General features: G+C 45.0%; 1 protein-coding gene across 25 annotated transcripts in view, besides 1 other annotated feature; it reads right to left on the bottom strand.

Annotated features, from left to right (window-relative positions):
• CAMTA1 (calmodulin binding transcription activator 1) overlaps positions 1-24381 on the bottom strand; it is a 984253-nt gene that overhangs the window by 762661 nt on the left and 197211 nt on the right. The gene's annotated exons all lie outside the window — the stretch shown is intronic.
• Positions 10425-10514: a silencer, noted in NCBI's record as "silent region_183". NCBI's record gives its function as "represses an Ori minimal core promoter by ATAC-STARR-seq in GM12878 lymphoblastoid cells {active_cell/tissue: GM12878}" and the evidence as "EXISTENCE:reporter gene assay evidence [ECO:0000049][PMID:35858748]".

The raw sequence follows: 24381 nt of genomic DNA, 5'->3' as shown, positions 1-24381 counted from the left end.
AATACCGTATCCAAAAATTCTTATTTTTTTTTTTTTTTTTTACTACCATCTGACATTCTTGTTAAGAAAGTGAATTTTGTGCTAGGCTCTCACAAATCCTTCCTGAAAGAAAGCAGAATGTCAACCAGAGTAAATAAGTAAGTCCTCCAACCGGGAAAAAAAGAACTCTAGAAATCATACAAGGTCTCCACTGGTTGATGTCATGAAGAGGTTAAGGGGGAAATCATAGAATGTTAGTGTGGGAACAAGGGGAAAAGGAAGCTTAGGGCTCAGATGGAGAGAGGCTCCAGCCCTCAGAGGCTCTGGGTTGGGGTGAGCTGTGACCGGTCAGGTGGGGACAGTCCTCCGGGAAGGATGAATGGAGCTCACAGCTAATAGGTGCCCCAGGGATGATTCATGGGGCTCAGTGCTTTGGAGAAGGTCATTTCCATCTCAGCCCACCTCAACTGGGTTCTCCAGCTGGCCTTAGAGATGGGTGAATTTCTTCTCAGCTCTATCATTTTCCTGATAATTAACAAGCTAATATTCTGAACCCAGGCCTTGGGGTGATTCTGAAAACAGTACAGGGTTGGGCTGCTTGGGTTTTTTTCCCATCAAATAAACAATGAATGGAATAAATCTGGCCACCCACCATTCCATAGAATTTCTAGGACTAATCCACAATCCAGTAAAATACCACCTCTTATTTTCTTCTTTCTGCTTTTATGTACTTTATAAATTTTCCGTAATAAGCATATATTAGTTTTTAATGGGGAAAAGTAAACTCTATTCTTAAAAATCTCTCTGCCTACCAGATCTTACCATCCAGGATTTTAAGGATAGAGTTGGGAGAATCTGAAGATATCCCATTGCCCAGGGAAAGACTAGAATTAAATCTGGAAAATTTCCAAACCCAAATACTATGGGCAGGTCTACGAAGCCCTTCCCATTTTCCTCCACATCTAGCTAAACCCAGAGACACTGTGACTGGCACAGACCCCACCCTGCTTCTCCATCCTTCCAAATGCTCCACACCCAATGCTACCTTCCCTGTCCTCTCTGTTCTTCCAACACCAAAATCCGCCAACAGACCCTGCCCTGGTCTATCCCACACCAACTCCGTACAGCCAGATCTGGGGCAGCAATCCCTCCACTGAGGGGCCACCCCTCCAGACCCTGTTGAGCCACTTGGATTCTGCAAATGGCTGTATGTGTTTCAGTGCCGCATCCATTTGGTACTCAAGTACACAGGACTCAAAGTAGCTCTAGCCAGAAACAACTTTTCCCCTTTTCTCTTCTTTGTGTCCTTCTGGACTGGGGTCCCTCCCTCGAGGAAGCCTTCCCAAGCCATCCTAGACTGGAGGGAATACCTACGTACGTAGGAAATACCTATGTATTCCCTTTGTATCCCATACTTCCTTGTGTACCACTTTTTGTCATTGCCTAGATATTAATCAAGCTTTCCCCCATACCCAGAAGATAGATGGTGAAGGCAAAGACAGGCCCATCTCACCCACGAGCACATCCTCAGCACCTGCCACAGAGGCCCACAGTGATCAGAAAGTATTTCTTGAAAGGGAAAAGCAAGAAGAAAAAGAAGGCAGAAGGAAGGGAGGGAAAGGCAGGGGGAGAAATTAATACATGAATTCACAGATGGATTGATAAACTATTTTTCCCAAAGAACTGAACCTGGACTCCTGGGAGGTTCCAAAGGGATGTAGCCCTCCTCATTTTACCAGGAGTCTTTGCATGGCCACTCAGAACCAGCTGGATTTTAGCAAATGGAGTGCCTGTCTGGAAAACCGGCCAGAGTGTCACTTGATGGCCCAAAAGCCAGCTTCCAAGGTGGGTGGCTAAGAATTTCCCAGGTGAGATCAAGTAGATGTGGCAAATAGTCACAGTTGGTCCACCTAGGTGAAGGGTAGACAGGTGGCATTGTAATCATCTTGCAGCTTCTCTGTAGGTTTACAACTTTTTCAAACTAAAAAACTTTGAGGCCGGACATGGTGGTTCATACCTGTAATCCCAGCACTTTGGAAGGCCAAGGCAGGCAGATCACTTGAGGTCAGGAGTTTGAGACCAGCCTGGCCAACATAGTGAAACCCCGTCTCTACTAAAAACACAAAAAAAAATTAGCCGGGTGTGATGGCATGTGCCTGTAATCCCAGCTATTCAGGAGGCTGAGGCATGAGAATTGTTTGAACCTGGGAGGCAGAAGTTACAGTGAGCTGAGATCGTGCCATTGCACTCTAGCCTGGGTGACAGAAAGAGACTCCATCTCCAAATCAATAAATAAATAAATACAATTTAAAAATAGGAAACATTGAAAAAATTGAAAAAGTATAATGTTGGAAATCAGGATAGTGGTTGTCTTTGAGGAGGATGGGGGATAAGGATGAAGGGGATCTTCTGAGGTGCTGGCATGATATAATCTTGAATTAAGTGGTTTTCATACTTTCATTCATGGATCGGCATATTTCCATTTAGTAGACTTTTTTGTATATATGCTTTATTTCACAACAAACAGACTTGAAATTAGAAAGAAAAAAAGCAAGCAGAACACATAGTTCTGAAGGCTCCGTGGGATTATGAGAACATTCTAGCAATAAAATGGGACTACCTGAGCTCTGCCCAGCTGATTGGCCAAGCCCCAGCTCAACCTTCCAGAAGCCAACCCAGAGCAGCTGCCTCCTCTTCATAACCCACTTTCAGGTTCCAGACCCAGGTTCTTTGGCTGGGATCCTAGCTGCCTCATGCAAAAGTCTAAATGCAATTGAAATGCAATGGATATCAAAGCCCTGTTTTTGAGGGAAAAAAAAGAAAAGAAAAAACAATAACACTGGCCTCCCTGCTCCTTGGCAATTATTCTCTCTTCAAATAGACAATTTTTCACCATTAACTGGATGACGGAACTTTCGTTTATAAGGTGATCCACCTAGAAAATAATATTGTGTCCACCATAATTCCCATTTCCTAAGCATGTTGGGCAATTTTTTATTTCAAGGAAAGCTGGGGAAATCATGTTCCATAACCAAACGCGTTCTTGTGCTGAAATCATCTCAGAACAGCTTACAGTTTAAAGTGGAATTACACCTTCGAGAGGCACAGCACAACCTGACCCTTTCGGGGAGTTAATTTTCAAAACAAAAATAACAATGATGAATAATCTCTTGTCTGACATGTGTTGGCAGGCCTTGACCCACCTCTCACAACTCCTATTACCTCCTAGGGCATAAACCAGATACTTCCGTAAACTTGGAGATTTCCTGTTATTCTCATCCCTGGCCTATGATAACATGGGTTTTTTCTTGCTGGTATATGAAAATCATTACTCTTTCTAATGGAAACAATAACTTCTGAACAAAGTACCTCTGTGGCCTCCCATGATCACCAACCTACCTGCATGAGTGATTCCTTAAAACCAGACACCCAGGAGAGATTATCTTTTTTAGTTTTGCTGCTCCAGACCATAATAATAAAGTCCAGGAGCTCCCTCGCTCTAGGCATGTACTGGTAAGTGCTGGGATTCCATCAGCACCTCCCTAAGCCGACGTGTCGAATTCCACGTGTTCTCACGTGGACCATCTACTAACATAGCCATCTATGCTACAGGGATCATTCCCTGCCTGGCACCCCTGCTGCCACCAAACATGATTCTGGGCCACATTACTCTACATTGACAGAGCAGAATCAAAGCATACAAATCCATTTCCATACTAACCTCTGCAAAATGCAATTCAGATATAACAAATCTATGTTATTCTGAAGGCACACCCAGAAACTGCGGTAGTGGTGGTGGGGCAGGTATCACTGTTCTAAATATTTCTGGCCCCTTCTCCTTTAGTTAGACCAGTGGTTTGCAACCAGGGGCAATTTTGCCCCCAGATTGGCAATGCCTAGAAACATTTCTTGTTGTCACAACTGAGCAAGGGGTGCTCCTGGCATCTGGTGCGCACAGGCCAGGCATGCAGCTAAACACCCTGCAATGCACAGGACAAGTCTTAAAATAAAGAATTGCCCAGACCAGAATGTGAATAGTGCCAAGGTTCAGAAACCCTGAGTCCGAGCACAGCAATTTACCATGCTCTTTACCATGTTCCTTCAAGGAGTCCTCATGGCTTCTTTGCGCTGTCCTCTGTGCTGAAATGCTGGCCATTACAGGTTTGGGGAGCGCTTAGGGAGAAGCTGTGGCCTCCAGGAGCCTGTTCAGCATCGTCAAGAGTGAGTCATGGCAAACCGGCACGTTCCCTCTTTTGATAGAACCTGCATTTCCATAGACGGCAGTGCCTCTGGATTTCAGCAAGGCAGCCAGCAAAGGCCATCATGTTATCCCTGTAAATTTGATGAAGGCACATGGGCTAGATGGTAGTACAATCAAGGAGATGCACTGTCGGTTGAGTAACTGAACTAGCAAAGGATGGAGCGATATGATAGATCCAAGTCACCCCACAAGTATGTGCCACGGCCTTTGCCCTCAGCCCTGTCTTGTCGGTCATTTCTATCAATGGCTTAAATGAAGTCATAGAAAGTATTCTTATTAGACCCCGTGAATAACAACACTGAGAAGGATGCTGATATTCTGGTGGGCCAACACACAATTTAAACAGACCTCAATGGGTTTATGATAGAATAAACCAGCTACACAGCAATAATAGGCAGCCTTAGACTTCTTCATGGCTTTCAAAGCACTTTCCCACTGCGCTGTTTTATGTGATCACCATCACCAGTCTGTAATGCAGGTGGGTCTCCTGACTCCCGTATCCCACAGTGCTGGGGGCAAGTATAGGACACTGCACCTCGGTTCAAAACATGGGGTTTTTACTCCTGATTGGGGTACAGAACAGGGGAGAATCTATTTGGAAAAGGGTTTTAGTCCGGGTGCGGTGGCTAACACTTGTAATCTCAGCACTTGAGAGGCTGAGGCAGGTGGATCACAAGGTCTGGAGTTCGAGACCAGCCTGACCAACATGGTGAAACCCCATCTCTACTAAAAATACAAAAATTTATCCAGGCGTGGTGGTAGGCGCCTGTAATCTCAGCTACTCAGGATGCTGAGGCAGGAGAATTGCTTGAACCTGGGAGGCGGAGGTTGCAGTGAGCTGAGATAGCGCCATTGCACTCCAGCCTGGGCGACAGAGGGAGAATCCGTCTCAAAAAAAAAAAAAAAAAGAAGAAGAAGAAGAAGAAAGAAAGAAAAAGGGTTGTAATTAAGTGCAAACGCAGAAGGCATTAGCTTGGTTGCATTAATCAAGGATAATGTCAAGAAGAAGGAAGGTGGCACAGCCGTTCCTCTCTGCTCTGATCAGAAGCCACGTTGGTGATGCAGTGTTTAGTTGTCATTACCACATATAAAATCAGTGCTGTAAACAAGGGCTCACTCCCAAAAGGATGACAAAGGTGGTGAAGACCAGCATCCTTTGAAGAAGACGTGAAATCCGGGACATGTGCTTGTTGGAGACATCCTAGGGAGACCACACTGGCTGTCGTCAATATCAGAAACGCCCTCATGGATGAGATGAATTCATGGAATTCTCTGTGGTTCCAGGGGACAGAAGCAGGACTGATAATGTATATTCAAGGTGAATAATTTACACTCAGCAGAAACAAGAACTTGCTGACCATTTATACTATTGCAGAAATAGCAGGTCAGCGTGCAAAGTGGTGAGCTCCTCAGCTCTGAAAATATTCAAGTGCAGGGTGGAGCTAAGAGATGGGATTCAGAGGTAGGGTTACTAACGGTGTCATTTGTTCACTTGACAAATACGTAGAGAGCATTGTCCTGGGACCTGGAGAGACAGCAGTGAACACAAAGACAAACTCCTATCCTCCTGGAGTTTATAGAGTTGGTGATTATGAAATGGTGAGAAGTGCTCTGAAAATGGAGTTTAGAGAGTTGGTGGTTTTGAAGTGGTGAGAAGTGCTTTGAAAACATGGGATTTTCACGATGATTAAGAACTCCCCAGCAAATTTTCTCCCATCACCATTACTCCGATACTCATGGCCTTAAAACTAAAGAAATTAAAAATATAACGACAATTATAAATATGTAAGTGACAACTGAAAGAAAGGGTAGGGTTTTTCCTATCGGTGTGGGAACTGGGTTTCTTAAATGAGTAATTAGTGAGTCAAATATAAGATAATCTGAGAGCAATGGGACCTGTCACCTCTAAAGCCCCTTTCTGCTCAAAGACACTGGGATTCTATAAAAACATGTCTGTGGCTTCCCACAAAGTCTCTCTCTCTGAAACAAATCTGACCACTTTAAAACATAAGGTGCCCATTAGAAGTCACCAGAAGCTCATTAGACAAAAAGATGAGCAGGAATTGGGGGAGGTCAACAGGTAAGGGTGGGAATGTGGAAGAATGAACCTGAAAGGAAACATATGTGGTAAACAAGTCAGAAGCACCCAAAGTCAGAGCCAAGAGAGGCCACATCATGCAGAACCTTGGACTTCCACGGGCCAAGGCACCTGCTCCCTCTCAGGATAGGAGCCCCATAAGCTGACCTGCTCCACAGGCTGTGGGGAGACAGCCAGACTGTTCCACTGCTTGTTTTCCAGGCCCCGCTCCATAAGACATGCTCCCCACCTCGCTCCTGTCCTGCCTCTTCAACTTCCCATCCTAAGCAGAGCCATTTTAAACCTACTCCCCTGCCCTGTGGCCTTCAAAAGACAAAGGTAGCTAGCAAGACAGTGGCTGACGCAGGGGCTGGTTCCCCATATTTTAGAGATGCCCCCAAACAAGAGGAAAGTCTTGGGTAGAAATGGTGAGAAGTTCCTGGGGAAGACAAGCATGAGTGGGTCCTCCCCACGCAGGGGGCTGCAGGACCGGGAAGTGAAAGAGGCGCCAGCTCCAGGGTGAGCAGGCTGCAAGGAAGCCAGCTTTCGGTGGCCCAGCTCCCCACTCCATCTTGCCCTGGACACACATCTCCCATCCTGTCCCTAGAGCGAGGACCACAGAAGAGCAGAAGCACCAGCCCCTCACCCAGCACCAGCTGGTACCAGGGCCCAGACAACGCAGACAGTCTATCACAGTGGAACCTGGCAGCAGGGTGGCCCCTGAACACTCGATTCTCTTTCTCCACCCCTTGGTTGGGGGACTTGCAATAGAGGCTGGCAGCTCTCAGAAAAGAACCTGTCAGGGTCAGGTTGGCCAGGGCACTACAGGGAGGAAAAAGCAGACTGAAATCAGGGAATGATCAAGACCAGATTTTATCACCAACGTATTCTCCTCACTCCCCACCCCCAATTCTCTAGAACTCACCAGAAAGAGCACAAGTGAGGGTGCAGGCCCTGCCCCTGGCCTAGACCTGTATGACCCTCCAAGGCAGCTATGGCTCACAGGGAAAAATAACCAAACATCCAAGGAGTACAACCGCTCTAAGAAAAAAGACCCGGCCGGGTACGGTATAATCCTAGCACTTTGGGAGGCTGGGGTAGGCAGATCACTCGAGCCCAGTAGTTCGAGACCAGCCTAGGCAACATGGGAAAGCCCCGTCTCTACAAAAACACAAAAATTAGCCAGGCATGCTGGCATGCACCTGTATTCCCAACTACTTGGGAGACTGAGATAGGAGGATCACCCGAGCCTGACAGGCAGAGGTTGCAGTGAGCCAAGATGGCACCACCGCACTCCAGCCTGGGCAACAGAGTGAGACTCTGTCTCATAAATAAATAAATAAATGCTCCCCGAGGCCTCTCCAGAAGCCAAGTGATGAGCACCATGCTTGTACAGCCTGCCAAACCATGAGCCAATTCAACCCCTTTTCTTTATAAATTACCCAGTCTCAGGCATTTCTTTATCTCAGTGCAAGAACAACGTAACACAAAGACAAACCCTATGTTTATATCAGGAAGCAGAATTAAGAGGCAAACCAGAACAAGAATTCAAAATAAGCAGATATCCTCAAAGAGATCAGGGAAGACACTGGGAACACAGAGTGGGAAGAGGCAGTCATAGGAAGAAGCCACTGGAAACGCTGGCTATAGAAACATAATTGCTTTGTTTTGTGGGCACAGAGTTTCAGTTTGGGAAAATGAAAAACTTCTGGAGACTATGATGGCTGCACAAAAGTGAGAATGTACTTAATGCCATTGAACTGTGCACTAAAAAAAGTTTAAAATGGTAAATTTTATGTTATGTGTATTTTACAATACAAAAAAGGTAGAAAGAAATGAATAAATGAATATTTAAATAATGTCATAAATGTAAAGATCCTAACACTGCTTTTGAACATAGATGTCCAATAAAAGGTAGCTTTATGAAAAGAAACATGATAGGTAAAATAAAACTACAGTATAATTATTGATTAATTTTGCAAATATTTATTGAGCATCCACCGCATGTCAGACGCCACAGCAAGATGCCAGGGATATGTTACAGGACAAAAGAGACAAAAAGTGCTGCCTCCGTGGCTCTTACGTTTGGCAAGAGAGACGAAACGCAAGGTGCACCAGACGGTGCTATGGAGAAGGCAAAGTGCATGGGGAGTGGATTCTCAAAGAAACCTTGAGGGCAGGTCTCCCTGGGGACAGGCTTGGGAGTCTGGGCTCCCTCTGGTGACTGAGGAGCACAGGGATAAAAGCAGATCTTGGTGGCAGAGGGACATGTGACGCAGAGGGAGTGGCATGGCATGTGCGGAGAGCACGCAGAGCTCCAGGGCTCCCTCTGGACTCAGATGAGGGGAAGAAGCCTGCTGGAGGTGCAGACTTATTCTATCTTATTCCTAGAAGAAAGCGCTCAGAGATGGGCGGATCACCTGAGGTCAGACCAGCCTGGCCAACATGTTGAAACTCTGTCTCTACTAAAAATACAAAAAAAAATTAGCTGGATGTGGCGGCACGCACCTGTAGTCCCAGCTACTCGGGAGGCTGAGGTAGGAGAATCACTTGAACCCAGAAGGCAGAGGTTGCAGTGAACCAAGACCGTGCCACTGCGCTCCAGCCTGGGTGACAGAGCGAGACTCCATCTCAAAACAAAACAAAAAAAGGCACTCAGTACACAGCCAAAGAATAATTTAGTGAGGTTAAGATCACAACAGGGAGCTTACCAGAATGCATCAAAAAAAAGATAAAGAGATGGAAAAAAAATTTGTAATAAATGAAAGGAGGCTGGGCACGGTGGCTCACACCTTTAATCCCAGCACACTGGGAGGCCAAGGAGGGCGGATCACCTGAGGTCAGGAGTTCAAGACCAGCCTGGCCATGGTGAAACCCCGTCCCTACTAAAAATACAAAAAACTAGCCAGGCGTGGTGGTGCACGCCTGTAATCCCAGCTACTCCAGAGGCTAAGGCAGGAGAATCGCTTGAACCCGGGAGGTGGAGGTTGCAGTGAGCCAAGATCGAGCCACTGCACTCCAGCCTGGGCAACAAAAGCGAAACTCTGTCTCAAAAAAAAAAAAAAAAAGAAAGAAAAGAAAGGAAATATGGAAAACAGAAGACGACCTGTCAACATCCATGTCACAGGAGACCCAGGAGGACAGAAACATGAATGGAGGAATCTGTATGAAGAACTAATAACCAAGAATTTCCCAGAATTAGAGAGATGTGTAAAAACCTGAAATTGAGAGGCTGCCCGAAGAGCCAAAGGACAGGTAAGATAGGGAGAGACGCGACATGCTTCCGAAAGGAACTAACACAAGAAGATGTCATGATCCTGAAAAGATATGCACCTCGGAATTTGGCCTCAAAAAATGCAGAGTAACATCTGACAGGGCTGCAAAAAGAAATAGATAAATCAGTAGGTTTGGTTGGAGACTTTAACGCATCCCCTCACAAACTGATGGCTCGCACACACACACACACAAAGCAAAAAACAAAGATGAAGGAATTTATTAGGGTTTAACTAATAAATACACGGAAAATTCGTCCAACAGAGAATGCACATCCTTTTTGAGTACGTGTAGAACATTCACAAAAAAATTAAACATGCACTGAGCCACAAGGGAAGCTTCGGTGAATGCCAAAGAATCATCGTCCTAGGAACCACACGTAAGACTGTAACATAAGAATGCTTACAATTACCAACAAAAGGTTCGCTTGCAAACCGACACATCTGGAAGCGAAAAGACATCCCAGTGATACTTGTTAAAGGAAAAAATCGTAAGGGAAATTTTTGAACACTTAGAACACAGGAAAATCACTATGTGTCAAAATTCATGAGACATAGAATTCCACTTTCAATCATGGAGAAGTAGCTCTTGTTGGACCAACCTTCCAACATTTAAAATATATATATTTTTTAATCAGAGGACAATAGAGAGAGACCAAAGGCAGGCAGAAATGGGTGGGATTTGGACAGTAGAAAGAAGGGAATAAGACTGGGTAAGTTTCTGAGGGTTTGTGACTTTTTTTCTTTCTTTCTTTCTTTCTTTCTTTTTTTTTTAAATAGCTTTTTGCCTGAGGCAGGCCCCAGTCAGTGTCACAGAGCAGCTAATACTCAGATAGAAAACTGAAGTCTTACTTTTTGTAGAATCAGAGGAGAGCTTGGGTTAACCACAGCAGCTAGAAAATGAAAGGGGAACTCCCTAAAAGGAAAGAGCCACAGAGGGAGAACACCAAAGTCTGTGCATAAACTGCCTCAATCTCCAGCTGATCTCTGAATTATGTTTGCATGGAATAGACTGTAAGCAGCCCACCTAAGGCCTAAACACCTGGACAGAGATTTCTGCTGCAGCAGAGACAAGACAGAGTTTATAGTTTGAACTCAGCGAAGTATCTGCTAAAACAAAAACTCAATATTATTCTGAATAGCGTAACAGAATCCCAAGTCTCTGCAACGTATCATTCACAAGGTCCAGAATCCAGTCCCAAATTACAAGATATATGAGCAGAAAAATGCAACTCATACTCAAGAGAAAAGGCAATCAATCAATGGACTCTGAGATGACACAAATTTTTGTATGAAGATGTCTGTTTATTCTGATGTTTTGACGTCTTGGGGCTTTGCTAACTCTAGAAAGGACCGCACTTCCCAGGGTTAGACAATTCCTGCAGATAGCAAATGCCTTGCCAAGGAATGCCCCTTTCATGTGCAAACCAACCATTCTGAAGCCCACGCCACACCCGCCTCCCTTGGTGAGCTCTCACTCATACCACTGTTCCCCTGCCCTACTTGCCCCAGGGCCAGGTACCAGGCAGCAAGAGACAGCCCCTTCGCTCAGAGCCCACCAAAATTGTTTGAACTAGCCAGTCTTATGCCTGTCTAAGTTGCCTGGCCTGGCCTTGCCCTTCTCACAGAAACCACAGCAAAGGCTCTGATCCATACTTCTCCTTGCTCCCTCCACCTCTGACCACTCCTGGTGCTCTCCCATGTGCCCCCGTAGCAGGCAGTACCCCTTCCTCTTGGAATTGTAACAAGCTTTCTTTTCAAAAGCAATCATCTCCCGATCTGTTAGTCACACCATACTTGAATAATAATGATTTGTATTTTAAAACGATGTTGAAATTGGAAGACAAAGATTTTAGGCCAGGTGCGGTGGCTCACGCCTGTAATCCCAGCACTTTGGGAGGCCAAGGCAGGCGGATCACGAGGTCAAGAGATTGAGACAATCCTGGCCAAAATGGTGAAGCCTCGTCTCTACTAAAAATACAAAAATTAGCTGGGCGTGGTGGCGCAGGTCTGTAGTCTCAGTTACTGGGGAGGCTGAGGCAAAAGAATCGCTTGAACCCAGGAGGCGGAGGTTGCAGTGAGCCAAGATCATGTCACTGCACTACTCCAGCCTGGCGACAGAGTGAGACTCCATCTCAAAAAAAAAAAAAAAAAAAAAAAAGAAAAGAAAAAAAAGATTTTAAAGGATCTAAAGTAAATGTGCTCAAGTGAGTTCCCACATGCAACAAATAATGACTGGCCCAAAATGTCAATAGTGCTGGCACCGATAAATACTGATCTATCTGGAAAAAAAAAGAGTTTGAAAAACATGAACAAGCCTTGGTGATTTATTTTTTTAAAAAAACAAAAACATGAGGTCAAATATCCATATAATTGAAGTCCCAGAAGAAGACAATGAGAATATGGCAGAATAACAATTTGAAGAAATAATGGCCAAAATTTTCCCAAATTTGTTGAAAGGCATAGATTTTCAGAATCAAGAAGCTCGGGCCGGGTGCAATGGCTCATGTCTATAATCCCCAGCACTTTGAGAGGCCAAGGCGGGAGGATCACTTGTGCCCAGGAGTTTTAGACCAGCCTGACCAACATGGCGAAACTCTGTCTCTACAGAAAATACAAAATTTAGTTAGGCATGGTGGTGCACGCCTGTAGTCCCAGCTATTCAGGAGGCTGAGGGGAGAGGATCGTTTGAGCCTGGGAGGTGGAGGTTGCTGTGAGCCGAGATTGTGCCACTGAACTCTAGTCTGGGTGATAGAGCCAGACCTTGTCTCAAAAAAAAAAGAAGTTCAAACAAAATGAACAAAACAAAACAAATAATACCTAGGCACATCATGGTCAAAGTGAATAACCCCAAAGATAAAGGGAGAATTCTGAAGGGAGCCAGAAATAAAGGACACGTTCCGCAGGGAATAACACAAATGCTAAAGAACACCTTATCAAAAACAAGAGGCCAGAAGGAAGAGAACAGCACCTTTAATGTGCTGAGAGAAAAACACACTGTCCACTCAGAATTCTACACCCAGTGAAAAATCCACCATTAAGTAAGGCAAAATGAAGACATGTTAAGAAAAATAAAATATAAGAAAATTCACCACCAGCAAATCTTCCCTATGAAATAAAGTTAAATGAAATTCTTCACACCAAAGGAAAATGATACAAATGGGAACTCTGATTTCAGGAAGAAACAAAGATCTTCCAAAGTATGATTATAAAAGATACCATTTTCTTCTCCTACTGTCATAAAACACATGTGGCTGTTTAAAGCAAAAAAAGAAAAAATACACTATGGGGCTTATAGCATATATAGATATAATACATATAACAAGTATAGCATGAAGAAATTAAGATATAAACAATATAGTTGCAAGATTCTTATAATTTACATAAAGTGATACAAATATTAACTACATGTAGATTGTGAAAAGTTAAGAATATACATTACATTCCCTAGTGCAACCACCAAAAAATTCAAAACATGCAAAGAGGCATGAACAAATTAAAATTATTTTTAATACATTCAATTAACCCAAAGAGCAATTAAAAACAAGTGAGATAAACAGAAAATATATGTCGACATGGTAGGCCTAAATCCAAACATATCAATAATTATATTAAATATAAATAGACTAAACACTCCAGTTTAAAAACAGAGATTGTCAGAATGTAGGAAAAAGCAAGACCAAACTATAGGCTGTCTACAAGAAACACATTTTAAATAGAAAGACAAAGAAAGCAATAGATAAAAAAACATACACCATGTAAACCACAAACATCAGAAGGCTGGAAATGGCTATGTAGCGTAGACTTCAAGACAAACAGTTTACCAGAAGTAGAGACATTTCATAGTGAAAAATGAGGCAATTAATCAGGGAGGCATTACAATCATAATTGTGCATGTGCCTAATAACAGAGCCTCAAAAGACAAGAAGCAAAAATTGACAGAAATAAAGAGAGAAATAGACCTATTATCTCAATTGGGGATTTTAGTAATGGTGTCTAAAAAAAAAATCATAAAATGCCTAGGAATAAATTCAGGAAAAGATGTGCAAAATCTCCACACTGAAAACTAAAAACATTGCTGAAGGAAATTAAAGAAGACCTAAATAAGAGATATACCACCTTTATGGACTGGAAGACTCAGTATTTTAAAGATGACAGTTCTCTCCAAATAATCTATAACACTATCCTAATGAAAATACCTGCAGGTTTTTTTAATAGAAATTGACAAGCTGATTCTAAATTTATATGAAAATGTCAAAGAGGTAAGATAGTCAAATCATTTTGAAAAAGTAAAGTTGGAGAACTGACATCAAGATTTATTATAAAGCTCCAATAATCAAGACAGTGAGGTACTGGTATAAGGACAGACAAATAGATTAGTGGAAAAGAATAGAAACCAAAATAGATCCACCCTTATGTGGTTAATTAATGTTTAGACAAAGGTGCCAAAGCAATCCAATGGGGAAAAGAAAGTCTTTTTTTAACAAATGGTGCTGAACAACTAGACATCACTATGGAAAATAACAATGTTGTCTCCTACCTTACACCATACATAAAAGTTAATCTGAGATGGTGACATGGTTGGGATTTGTGTCTCCACCCAAATATCATGCCAAATTGTAATCCCCAGTGTTGCAGGAGGGGCCTGGTGGGAGGTGATTGGATCATGGCAACGCATTTCCCCCTTGCTGCTCTCATGATAGCAGGTGAGTTCTCACAAGATCTGATTGTTTAAAAGTATGTGGCACTTCCCACTTCACTTTCTTCCTCCTGCTCTGGCCATGTAAGACGTGCCTGCTTTCCCTCCTGCCATAATTGAAAGTTTCCTGAGGCATCCCCAGCCACAATTCCTGTACAGCCTGCAGAACCATGAACCAATTAAACCTCTTTTCTTGATAAATTACCCAGTCTCAGGTATTTCTTTCTAGCAGTGTGAAAATGGATGAGCAACAGACCTGCATGTAAAAGCTAGCATTATAAGGCTTCTAGAAGAAAACATAGGAGAATATCTTCACAATAAGCAAAGATTTCTTAGAGAAGGCATGGAAAGAAATAATCAGAAAGGGAAAAAAGTGATAAACTTCAGGCTGGGCACAGTGGCTTATGCCTGTAATCCCAGCACTTTGGGAGGCTGAGGCAGGTAGATCACTTGAGCCCAGGAGTTCAAGTCGAGCCTAGGCAACATGGCAAGACCACGTTGCTACAAAAATAAATACAAAAATTAGCCGGCCTGGTGGTGTGCACCTGTAGTTCCAGCTATTCGGGAGGCTGAGGTGAGAGGATTGCTTGAGCCCCAGGTGTCAGGGCTGCAGTGAGGCATAACTGCATCACTGCACTCCAGCCTGGGTGACAGAGTAAGACTAGCTCAAAAATAAATAAATAAATCATAAAAAATATATTTCAGCAAAATGTAAAATTCTGGTCATAAAGAAACACCATTATAACAATAAACAAAAGCCGGGCACAGTGGCTCACGCCTGTAATCCCAGCACTTTGGGAGGCCGAGGCAGGCGGATCACTTGAGGCCAGGAGTTTGAGACCAACCTGGCCAACATGGCAAAACCACATCTCTACTAAAAATACAAAAAAAAATAGCCAGGTATGGTGGTGGTCACCTGTAATCCCAGCTACTCAGAAGGCTGAGGCCGGAGAATCGCTTCAACCCAGGAAGGGGAGACTGCAGTAAACCGAGATCACTCCACTGCACTCCACCCTGGGCAACAGAGCAAGACTCTGTCTCAAAATAAATGAATGAATGGATAAACAAATAAATAAAAATAAAAATGAATAAGCAGGCCACATTCTAAGAGAAAATATTTGTGAAACATATAGCTAACAAAGAACTGTATCCAGAATATATAAACTACAAGCCCCCACTAACAAAAGGGAAATCCACGATGTTTAATGGACAAAAGATTGGAGCAGATATGTCACAAAGGGAGATATATGGATGACTAATAAACACATGGAAAATACCATTAGTCATCAGGGAATGCAAGTGGAAACCACAATGAGATCCCACTGTTCACCCATCAGAATGGCTGAAATTAAGAGTCACAGCACTAAATGTTGGTGAGTATGGAGAGCAACTGGAATCCTCATACATTGCTGGTGGAAATGGTACAACCACTTTAGGGGAAAAAAACATCCAGCAGTTTCTTTTAAAAAAAAGAAAACACAGCACCCAACAATTCTTTCCTAGGCATTTACCCAAAAGAAATAAAAACACACATCCCCAAAAAAGACTTGTACAAAATATTCACAGCAGTTTTATTCATAATAGCCAAAAACTGGAAACCTACCAGATGTCCATGAATGAATGGATAAACAAACTATGGTACATTCATACAATGGAATACTACTCTCAATAAAAAGGAAAAAAAAACTACTGATACAAACTACTGATACTTGCAACAACACAGATGAATCTCAAAAAACATGCTGAATGAAGGAAGCCTTGCCTAAAAGAGGACATGTTTAAAGCTACGTATTAGGTACAATATACACTCCTCCGGTCACCAGTGCACTGAAATCTCAGCCTTCACCAAATTAATCCATGTAACCAAAACCACTTGAAACCACTTGTACCCCCAAAAAGCTATTGAGATTAAAACACACACACACATATATATATAAATATATATATATATAGAGAGAGAGAGAGAGAGAGACAGAGAGAGAGAAAGTACATGTTATATGAATTCATAAAGTTCTAGAATAGGCAAAAATAACTAATGGTGAAAATAATCAAAACATTGGTTGCCTGGGGGTAGGAGAGCATTGACTAAGAAGAGACCAGAGGAACCCTTTTGGGATGATAGAAATGTTCTGTGTCTTTATAGAAGTTTGGGTTACATGGGTAGACACATCTGTCAAAACTCATCGCACGGCACACTTAAGATTGTGTGTTTCACTGTAGGAATTTTACCTTAAAAAGTAAATAAACAGTTCATAATATGCATGCTGAAATATTTAGAGGCGACATGTACTGTTAGCTGTGATTTACTGTGAAATATATCAAACCAAGATGGATTGATGAATTGATACATGGATGAATATGGGATAAAGCAAATATAGCAAATTGTTAAAGTGATGGATATATCATATCTAATTCAACTCTTCTTTACGTTTGAAATTTTTCAGTATAATGTTTGGGAGAAAGAAAAAAAATTGTGAGACACAGCTAAAGCAGTATTTAAAGGACAATTTATAGTTTGCATTTAACAGAAAACAAGAAAGATTGAAAATAAATGAACTAAACACTTGAGCTAAAGACTGCTGGTGACCTACCAATATCCACTCTCCCATTCTTCCTAAATAACACACTCCAATTTCATTACGGGCAGGAAAGTGCTGAGCAAAAGATTGCCCCTCCCAGCCCGTCTGCAGATGAAGTTGGCCAGTGAGATGTTAGCAGAAGGGCTTGGGTGAGCTTTCCAGGGAAGCCAGTTAAGAAGCAAGTGAGAGCCTGAAAGACCCACTTGTTGCCTGGAATGCAGAGGTCATGTTGCTGCCCCACTCCCCCATTCTCCTTGCTCTGACCCAGCTCCCTTTCCCTCTATTCCTCCAGCCCAGGACTCACCCCCCAAGGTCAGTAAATAATGGCAAAATAAATCCAAGAAATGTTTTGAAAGGTCTAGGTAATGGAAATGTTTAATCCTCTCTCTAGTCATTAGCAAACAAAGGATGTGACCTCCTAGAGTCAGAAGCAGTTGACTCTCCTTTCAAAGTTAAACTCTTCCCGAGGTAGCACCCCCATGCCAGCATTCCAGTACACCCCTGCCAGTGACGTGGGGGAAGACAGCTATCTTTAAAGCCCGGGGCATCCACCCAAATGAAGAGGTTTACTGCCTCACTTAGGAGCAATAACAGAGCAGATACCTTGAACGGTGAGTTCTCATAAATCTTGTTTGGGGAAAAAAAACTTTCAATTCCCACTGGAAATATGCAAAACAGCCTCCACACTGTAAATCTTCCTTTTCAGTTCTAAAGAGATAAGTTGGACCTATTAACCTTCCATGTTATTTTCAACTTCATTATTTGAGCTGACATGACAAGAGAGCGGCCACGGCTCTCTCTGGCAGAGCGCATGTAAATCGCTTTCTCAAAGGAAATTACTTCTCTGGCCTGAATGTTATTAATCTAAATTCTCCGTTAGTCAAATTGTTGCCCATAATAAATATGGAACAGGTTGGGATACTTATCGAGTGTGGCACTCCTTGTGGATGCCACATCCGTCCCTAACCCCCTTCCATGGAACTGTCTCCTTGGAAGAGGCAGGTCCCAGATGGCTCCTGCATCAGGCTGTGGTGGTGGAGGTGGGAGATGGCTCACCTGAGGGCTGGAACCTGGCTCTGCTCTGGTTTTCCCAAGGAACTTCTGCCCTGTCATGTCCCCTGCCCCTCCTGCCTTATCAAAGGGGAAAGTGACTCCTGGCCTAGTGGAACTCTTCTGAAGGCCTCCCCATTGGGACACCATCTTTCAAAGAAAACTACCAGGAGCAGGGTTGAGTCTCTGCCTCGGATTGGCTCAGTCTAGACTCAGTCAGTCCAGTGCTACAAAGAGCAGGTCTCCCCAGTCCCTCGGGCAGCCAGCCAGACTGTTCACTGGCTGATGCTGGGGTGATGGGTTAAACTCTTTACGATACCATTTAAGATGCATTTGGTTCAGCACCAAAGCCTTTACAAATCACACTGTTTTCAGAACCTGGAGAGGGGGAATGAGGTTTGCTCATCCACATGCGGCCCAACCCGTTGGACGGGACTCCAAGTACTCTTCACAGAATGATGCTCATTTCCGACAAAGCAACCTGAAGGATGGAGAAAGCCAACTGCCGTGGCGCAGGGGTAGGGGGTGGGGGGGAATCCAAAAGGCTTTTTTCTGCTTCTACTAGGGTTCTTTCCAGGGTAATTACAAGAAGTTTAGAATCCATTCAGGGACTTGTAGTTCATTAAATGAATTTCCATCTGTGTATCCACTACCTAAGAAGTATCACTTTGTACAATACTCGGGTTTTTATTGTATATAAGTCAGATTGTTAATTTGCAGCAAGCAGCACTGAAAGGCTCGTTTCAATAGTGCCTGATTATGCAAAATGAAACCGGGTTTTCATTAGGTCTGCCTCCCGCACTCCCTAACACTTGGTGGGGTGCCGGGATGCAGGATGGAGCCCTGTGCAGTGGAAGGAAGCCCAGCACCAGCTTTCGGAGCGTCACGGCCCTTCTCCCAGCAGAATCACCCAGCGCACCCGCACCACCTCCCCAGACTGCACTGGGGGTCCCCATGGATTCATTCCCACATCCCATCACTGCACAGCCAATGGTGGCCACTAGGAGAACTCTGACACGAAAACGGAACTTAGGAAAGATTAGCTTCTAGATTCCAAGCATGTCCCAGGTCTATTGATTTTATTTAAGGGATAATGTTCCCAGGGAAGAGGGATGGGAAGCAGAGCAGCTCCTGCTGCTGGTCTGGTGCTGGAGTCAAGCAGAGCTGGCTAAGCCCTACAGAGTTACAGGAGGAGATCAAAGATGACAGACGCCGGCTCTTGCTGCGGATGATGCCCACCTGGGGACCATGAGGCTGGGGTGGGCACCACACAGCACAGGCTGGGGATGGAGGGGGAAGGAAGGAGTGATGGGGAAGAAGGGGAACCTGGATTCCCGGGACCAAAAGCAAAGCGGCCCTTTCCTCAACGACCTACAGGATTTAGTCCTGTGCCTCCCACATTGCATCCAATAGCAACGAGTATCTACAGGTTGCAAAAGACAGAAAGAAAAAGTAAGGGGTTTTATAAATGCATCCCCATCTGCCCACAGCCTCACTGTTTGTTCCGGTCAGAACTTCTTCCTTCCAGCTAATTCACCTAAAGGCCAGATCACCTGCCAAATGGTTTTGGTGGTCCTCAACCTGGACTGGACACTAGAATCATTTGGGAGCTCTTAAATAATAGCAATGCCAGAGCCCCACCCAGACCATTTAAAAGAGTCTTTGGCCGGGCGTGATGGCTCACGCCTGTAATCCCAACACTTTGGGAGGCCAAGGCGGGCAGATCACCTCAGGTCAGGAGTTCGAGACCAGCCTGGCCAACATGGTGAAACTCCGTCTCTACTAAAAATACAAAATAATCAGCCGGGCATGGTGGCACATGCCTGTAGTCCCAGCTACTTGGGAGGCTGAGGCAGAAGAATCGCTTGAACCTGGGAGGCAGAGGTTGCAGTGAGCTAAGATTGCGCCACTGCACTCCAGCCTGGGTGACAGAGTGAGACTCTGTCTCAAAAAAAAAAAACAAAACAGTCTCTGAGGGTGGGCCCTGGCATTAGTTTTTAAAAGTTACCCAGTGATGACAATATGCAGACAGGACTGAAAACCCCTGGGTTCAATTTCAATCTTGTTGAAGAGTTTACCAAAATACCCTAACTCAGAGACACACAAATGAGCATGGGAAGTGGGGGCGGAGGGGCTGGGGAACCTGGCCCTAGGGGGTCTCATATGCCATTGGGGGCCCAATAAACACCACAAGATATGCCCAAGAGCAAACTTGTAGAATATTGGGTCCTAAGTCACCAAGGCTTTGTGTCCCCAAAAGAAACCAGCAGGAGTGCGTCATCAGGAAGGATGGGCTGGAAACTCAACGCCCAGCTCCAAACCTGGGAGGTTTGCTCCCTGCATTAACTCACGTCCACAGCACCCTTCTAACCCACTTGGTACCAGGTACAGACAACCACCAGGAACCACCATCTTGGAGCCCCAGTACTCACAGAATTTTCCAGGAAGCCTCCCCGGGTTAATGGGGTGACCAGAAGATGGCATTTCTCTGCAAGCCCCAGCACTCGCCTCACAGTGCAGGTACAACCATGGACGATGGTTGACAAATCACCTAAAAACACTGTCCCTTCCTCAAGATTTTCCCACCTTAACCTCAAATCCCTCCAGGGCGGGCACTGGCATCCGACTCCTTTGTAAATCGTTCATCCTCTCCTAGGACAAGGCTCTGCACCTGGAAAGTCAGTTCACCTGGATCCTGACGGCAAAGCCCACTTCCCCTTCTCTGCCCAGTGAGCCCTCCCCAAAACTCCCTCTGTCACATCTTGGGTGGTATCCCCTGCCTCGCAGGGGACAGAAGACCACTTCACTCCTCTTGCTAATAGGAGATCTAATAATTGTGTCAAACAACCATCCTTTGATGCTCAGAGCTGCCTCGCCCCACTTAGCAACTCAAGTACCTGAGCAGGGATCAGATTCTGCTTCTCCTGGTGAGAGACATGGCAGCAGACGGATGGAGCCCAAATCTGGCCTGACTCATTCCCCCAGACCCTCCGTCCTCTGATACCCACCTGCAGGGCAACAGGGGAAAGGCACAGAAAGACGGCAGGGAGCAGCCAGTGGGGGCTGTCCCGAGGAACCACCTTGTAAAAGTCTTAAAGTGCAAAGCCAGTATTTCCAGAATGTTCTTCCGTGCCTGAAGGAAACAGGTAGGGCCGGAAAGAGTTAATCGCCGGTAGTCAGAGGTTAGAAGACGAAGCTCCTGCCCATACACAGAGGTGCAGAGAGCATCCCAAGCATAATAAATCTATGAGTGCAGAAGGCCTCTCTCCTCATTTGTTAGTCAGCGATGTGTGAAAATGTTAATGAAGGAAGTTATAATCTATGAGAATTTCACTATTAAAATGTAGTTCACGTCTGAAGGCTTCTGCTCACACACAGCCCACTGTACATCAATCCTCCCCGTGCACTGCTAATAATAGACGTAATTGCCTCACTCTGTCTAGCCACCTTCACCCTGGCAATTCGAAGATTTGCTACAACTGTTATTGTAGAAATTATTTTCGTGCTATTAACTTTGAGTTTTATTATATGTGTTCTTAAAAGAAAATAAATGCAGAGAGATTGTAAGTGTATATCGGGTCCCCGATGAAAGTATTTTAAAAAATATAACGTAATGACAAAAAGCACTGAAGTAGGGTGATATAATGGTTCCTTCCCTTATTGAAACCTAAATTAGATTCTGCATTGTAAAAGTGCATAAAGGGGTTTCTTCTTTTCGTGGAGAAAATTTCTATTCTGAAAATGGCAGCACATTGCCTCTTGCAAAGCCAGGCTGTGGAGAGGAGCAGAGATCATCTGTCAGACTCAGATGCCAGCTCCTCCCATTCACAGTGGGCATCTGACAGGCCCAGGGAGCAGCTCTCTTGGGCAAACCCAGGACGCCTTTACTGAGGGGCCCCCGTAGCTACAGCTGCAGTTCTCTTCCTACAGCCAGCCTGGCCTGGCTCTGCAAGTCAGCCCCACGCCCCCTACACTCACAGCTCCAAATGGGCAGGTTTCCCGGGCTTGTAGCTTAGGGGACAGCCTTGTAATCGGTGTGGGCTTCCAGGCCTGGGACCTAACAGGCATCTGGCCAGGCAGTCATCAAACGGGATGTGAGAACTTCAGCCAAAACTGGAAGTCAGACCCATAGGCAGTCTACGTAAAACTGGTGTGGCAGATACAACGACCCCTTTCTCTGGGAAGCAGGGTCCTCCCACAGTCCGAATGTGTGACCCCAGCGCCCTGGTAATAGATTACTCCAGACTGTCGTCCCCAGGAATTTGGCATTGGATTTGAGGCCCTGAAAGTCGCCTCTTCAGGTAGCTGACCTGACGCGTCTGAACTCGGTGTCTGGCAGATGGACTGAGGAGCAGAACCCAGCCATCGGCAGCTGAGGAAAGACGATGCAGATGTACAGAGAGGGAAAACGTGCAGAGAGAGTCAATGGCCATCCGGCCACTGGCCCAGGTCCTGCCTGAAGCCTACTCACCCAGGAGACATTTCTTTGTTGTTTTTTGTGAGTATTTTCTTTTTTAAGATGGAGTCTCACTGTGTTACCCAGGCAGGGTGCAGTGGCGCCATCTCGGCTCACTGCAACCTCCGCCTCCCAGGTTCAAGTGATTCCCCTGTCTTAGCCTCCTGACTAGCTGGGATTTCAGCCCCGCACCACCCCACACCTGGCTAATTTTTGTATTTCTGTTAGAGACGGGGTTCATCATGTTGGCCAGGCTGGTCTCAAACTCCTAACCCCAAGTGATCTGCCCACCTCAGCCTCCCAAAGTGTTGGCTTTGCAACAGGCAATGTGCTGCCATTTTCAGAATAGAAATTTTCTCCATGAAAAGAAAGAAACCCCTTTATGCACTTTTACAATGCAGAAGTCCCCGGCCTCCCAAAGTACTTGATGTTGCCATCCGCCCACCCAGCCTTCCACCCACCCATCAACCCACCCATCCCTCTATCCACTCACCTACCAACCCATCTACCTTCTATCCACTCATCTACCAACCCATCTACCTTCTATCCACTCATCTACCAACCCATCTATTCACCCACCCACCCATCCATCTATCCACCCATCCACCCACCCATTTATCCATCTATCCATTCATTAATCCATCCATCTGCCCAACCACCCATCCCTCCATCCATCCATCCATCTATCCACTCATCCACCCAACCATTTATCCACCCCCAACCCTCGATCCACCCACCCATCCACCCATTTACCCACCCACCCAATCATCAATCCACCCATTCATCTATCCAAGCCTCTATCCACCCACCCATTCATCTATCACCCACCCATTCATCCACCTATGTATGCATTAATCTATCCATCCATCCATCAACCATCTATCCACCTATCCATCCAACCATCCATCTACCCACCCAACCCTCTATCCACCCACCCATCCCCCTACCCATACATTCAACCATCCACTCACCCATTCATCCATCCTTCCATCAAATAATAGATCCAATTATTGAGTGCCTGCTCTGTACCAGCTACTGGGCTACTGAAGTAAACAAATTAGTTATAGAACTTGCCTCCATGAAGCTTTGTGAAGAAGATAAATATGAAATAATACAAAAGAAATTAACATGAATATATAAAGACAAATTGTGATAAGTATTACAAAGGAAAAGCATATAGTATGACAACAGATTATGACAGGGGTGCCTGTAGGTTTAGGGGGTTGAGATTTAAACTGAGACTTAGTAAGAGTGATGAGGAAGGGGAAGAAGAGGGAGAGTAGGTGCCACAGCCCTGACTGTTGGAGCGTCTGGAGCTGAAAGGCAGCCAGTATAGCTGGAACGTAGTGGAGGGAAGGCAGGTAGAAGTAGAGGGGGCTCCACAGGACATAGACACTAGCTCTTTCTGAAAATGAATATATTTTCTAAGACCATGGCACCAAGATAGAATGAGTTTCCAGGAATGTAAGGTTCCCCGCACATACTCTTAGATTCTTTCTGGAATTTACATTTGGACAATCTGCCTGAGGGGAGAGTAACACAGGATAAAGACAGCACACAGGAGCCACAATCTGGAATGTTCTGTAAGTCCTGGTGACTGTTCCCAATCCCCAGAGTTTTGGAGGATGAATCATCAAGGTAAGTTTACATGGGTCAGCCTCAGAGGCTCCCCGCTCCAGAAAGGACTCCAGAGTCTCCTAGCCCAATAATCCTCCCTCCACCCTACTCACTCCTTCATGGGAGAGTGACAAGGAGGCCCACAAACCAGGCCCAATTGTCCTGCATTGGCCTGGTCCCCACCAAGCCCTATGAGTTTGGGCCACTGAGGCAGGATCGCTCCTGCTCCCCACCCCTCCCCACCCCTCTACGGCCAGCACCTTCAACCAGAGCCACTACGCACAGAGGGCTGAGCGAGGATCCCTGTGGAGTGAAGGGGGAGGCAGCCAGGAGGGGGTCCTAGGCAGCACTGAGGAGCTTAAAGCCATGCTCTGCCAACTGCGTGGGGACA

This window comes from Homo sapiens, chromosome 1, assembly GCF_000001405.40.
Source record: "Homo sapiens chromosome 1, GRCh38.p14 Primary Assembly".
Lineage (NCBI taxonomy): Eukaryota > Metazoa > Chordata > Mammalia > Primates > Hominidae > Homo > Homo sapiens.
Note: the sequence above shows the minus strand (reverse complement) of the source record. Positions and strands in the feature narration are given on the sequence as shown.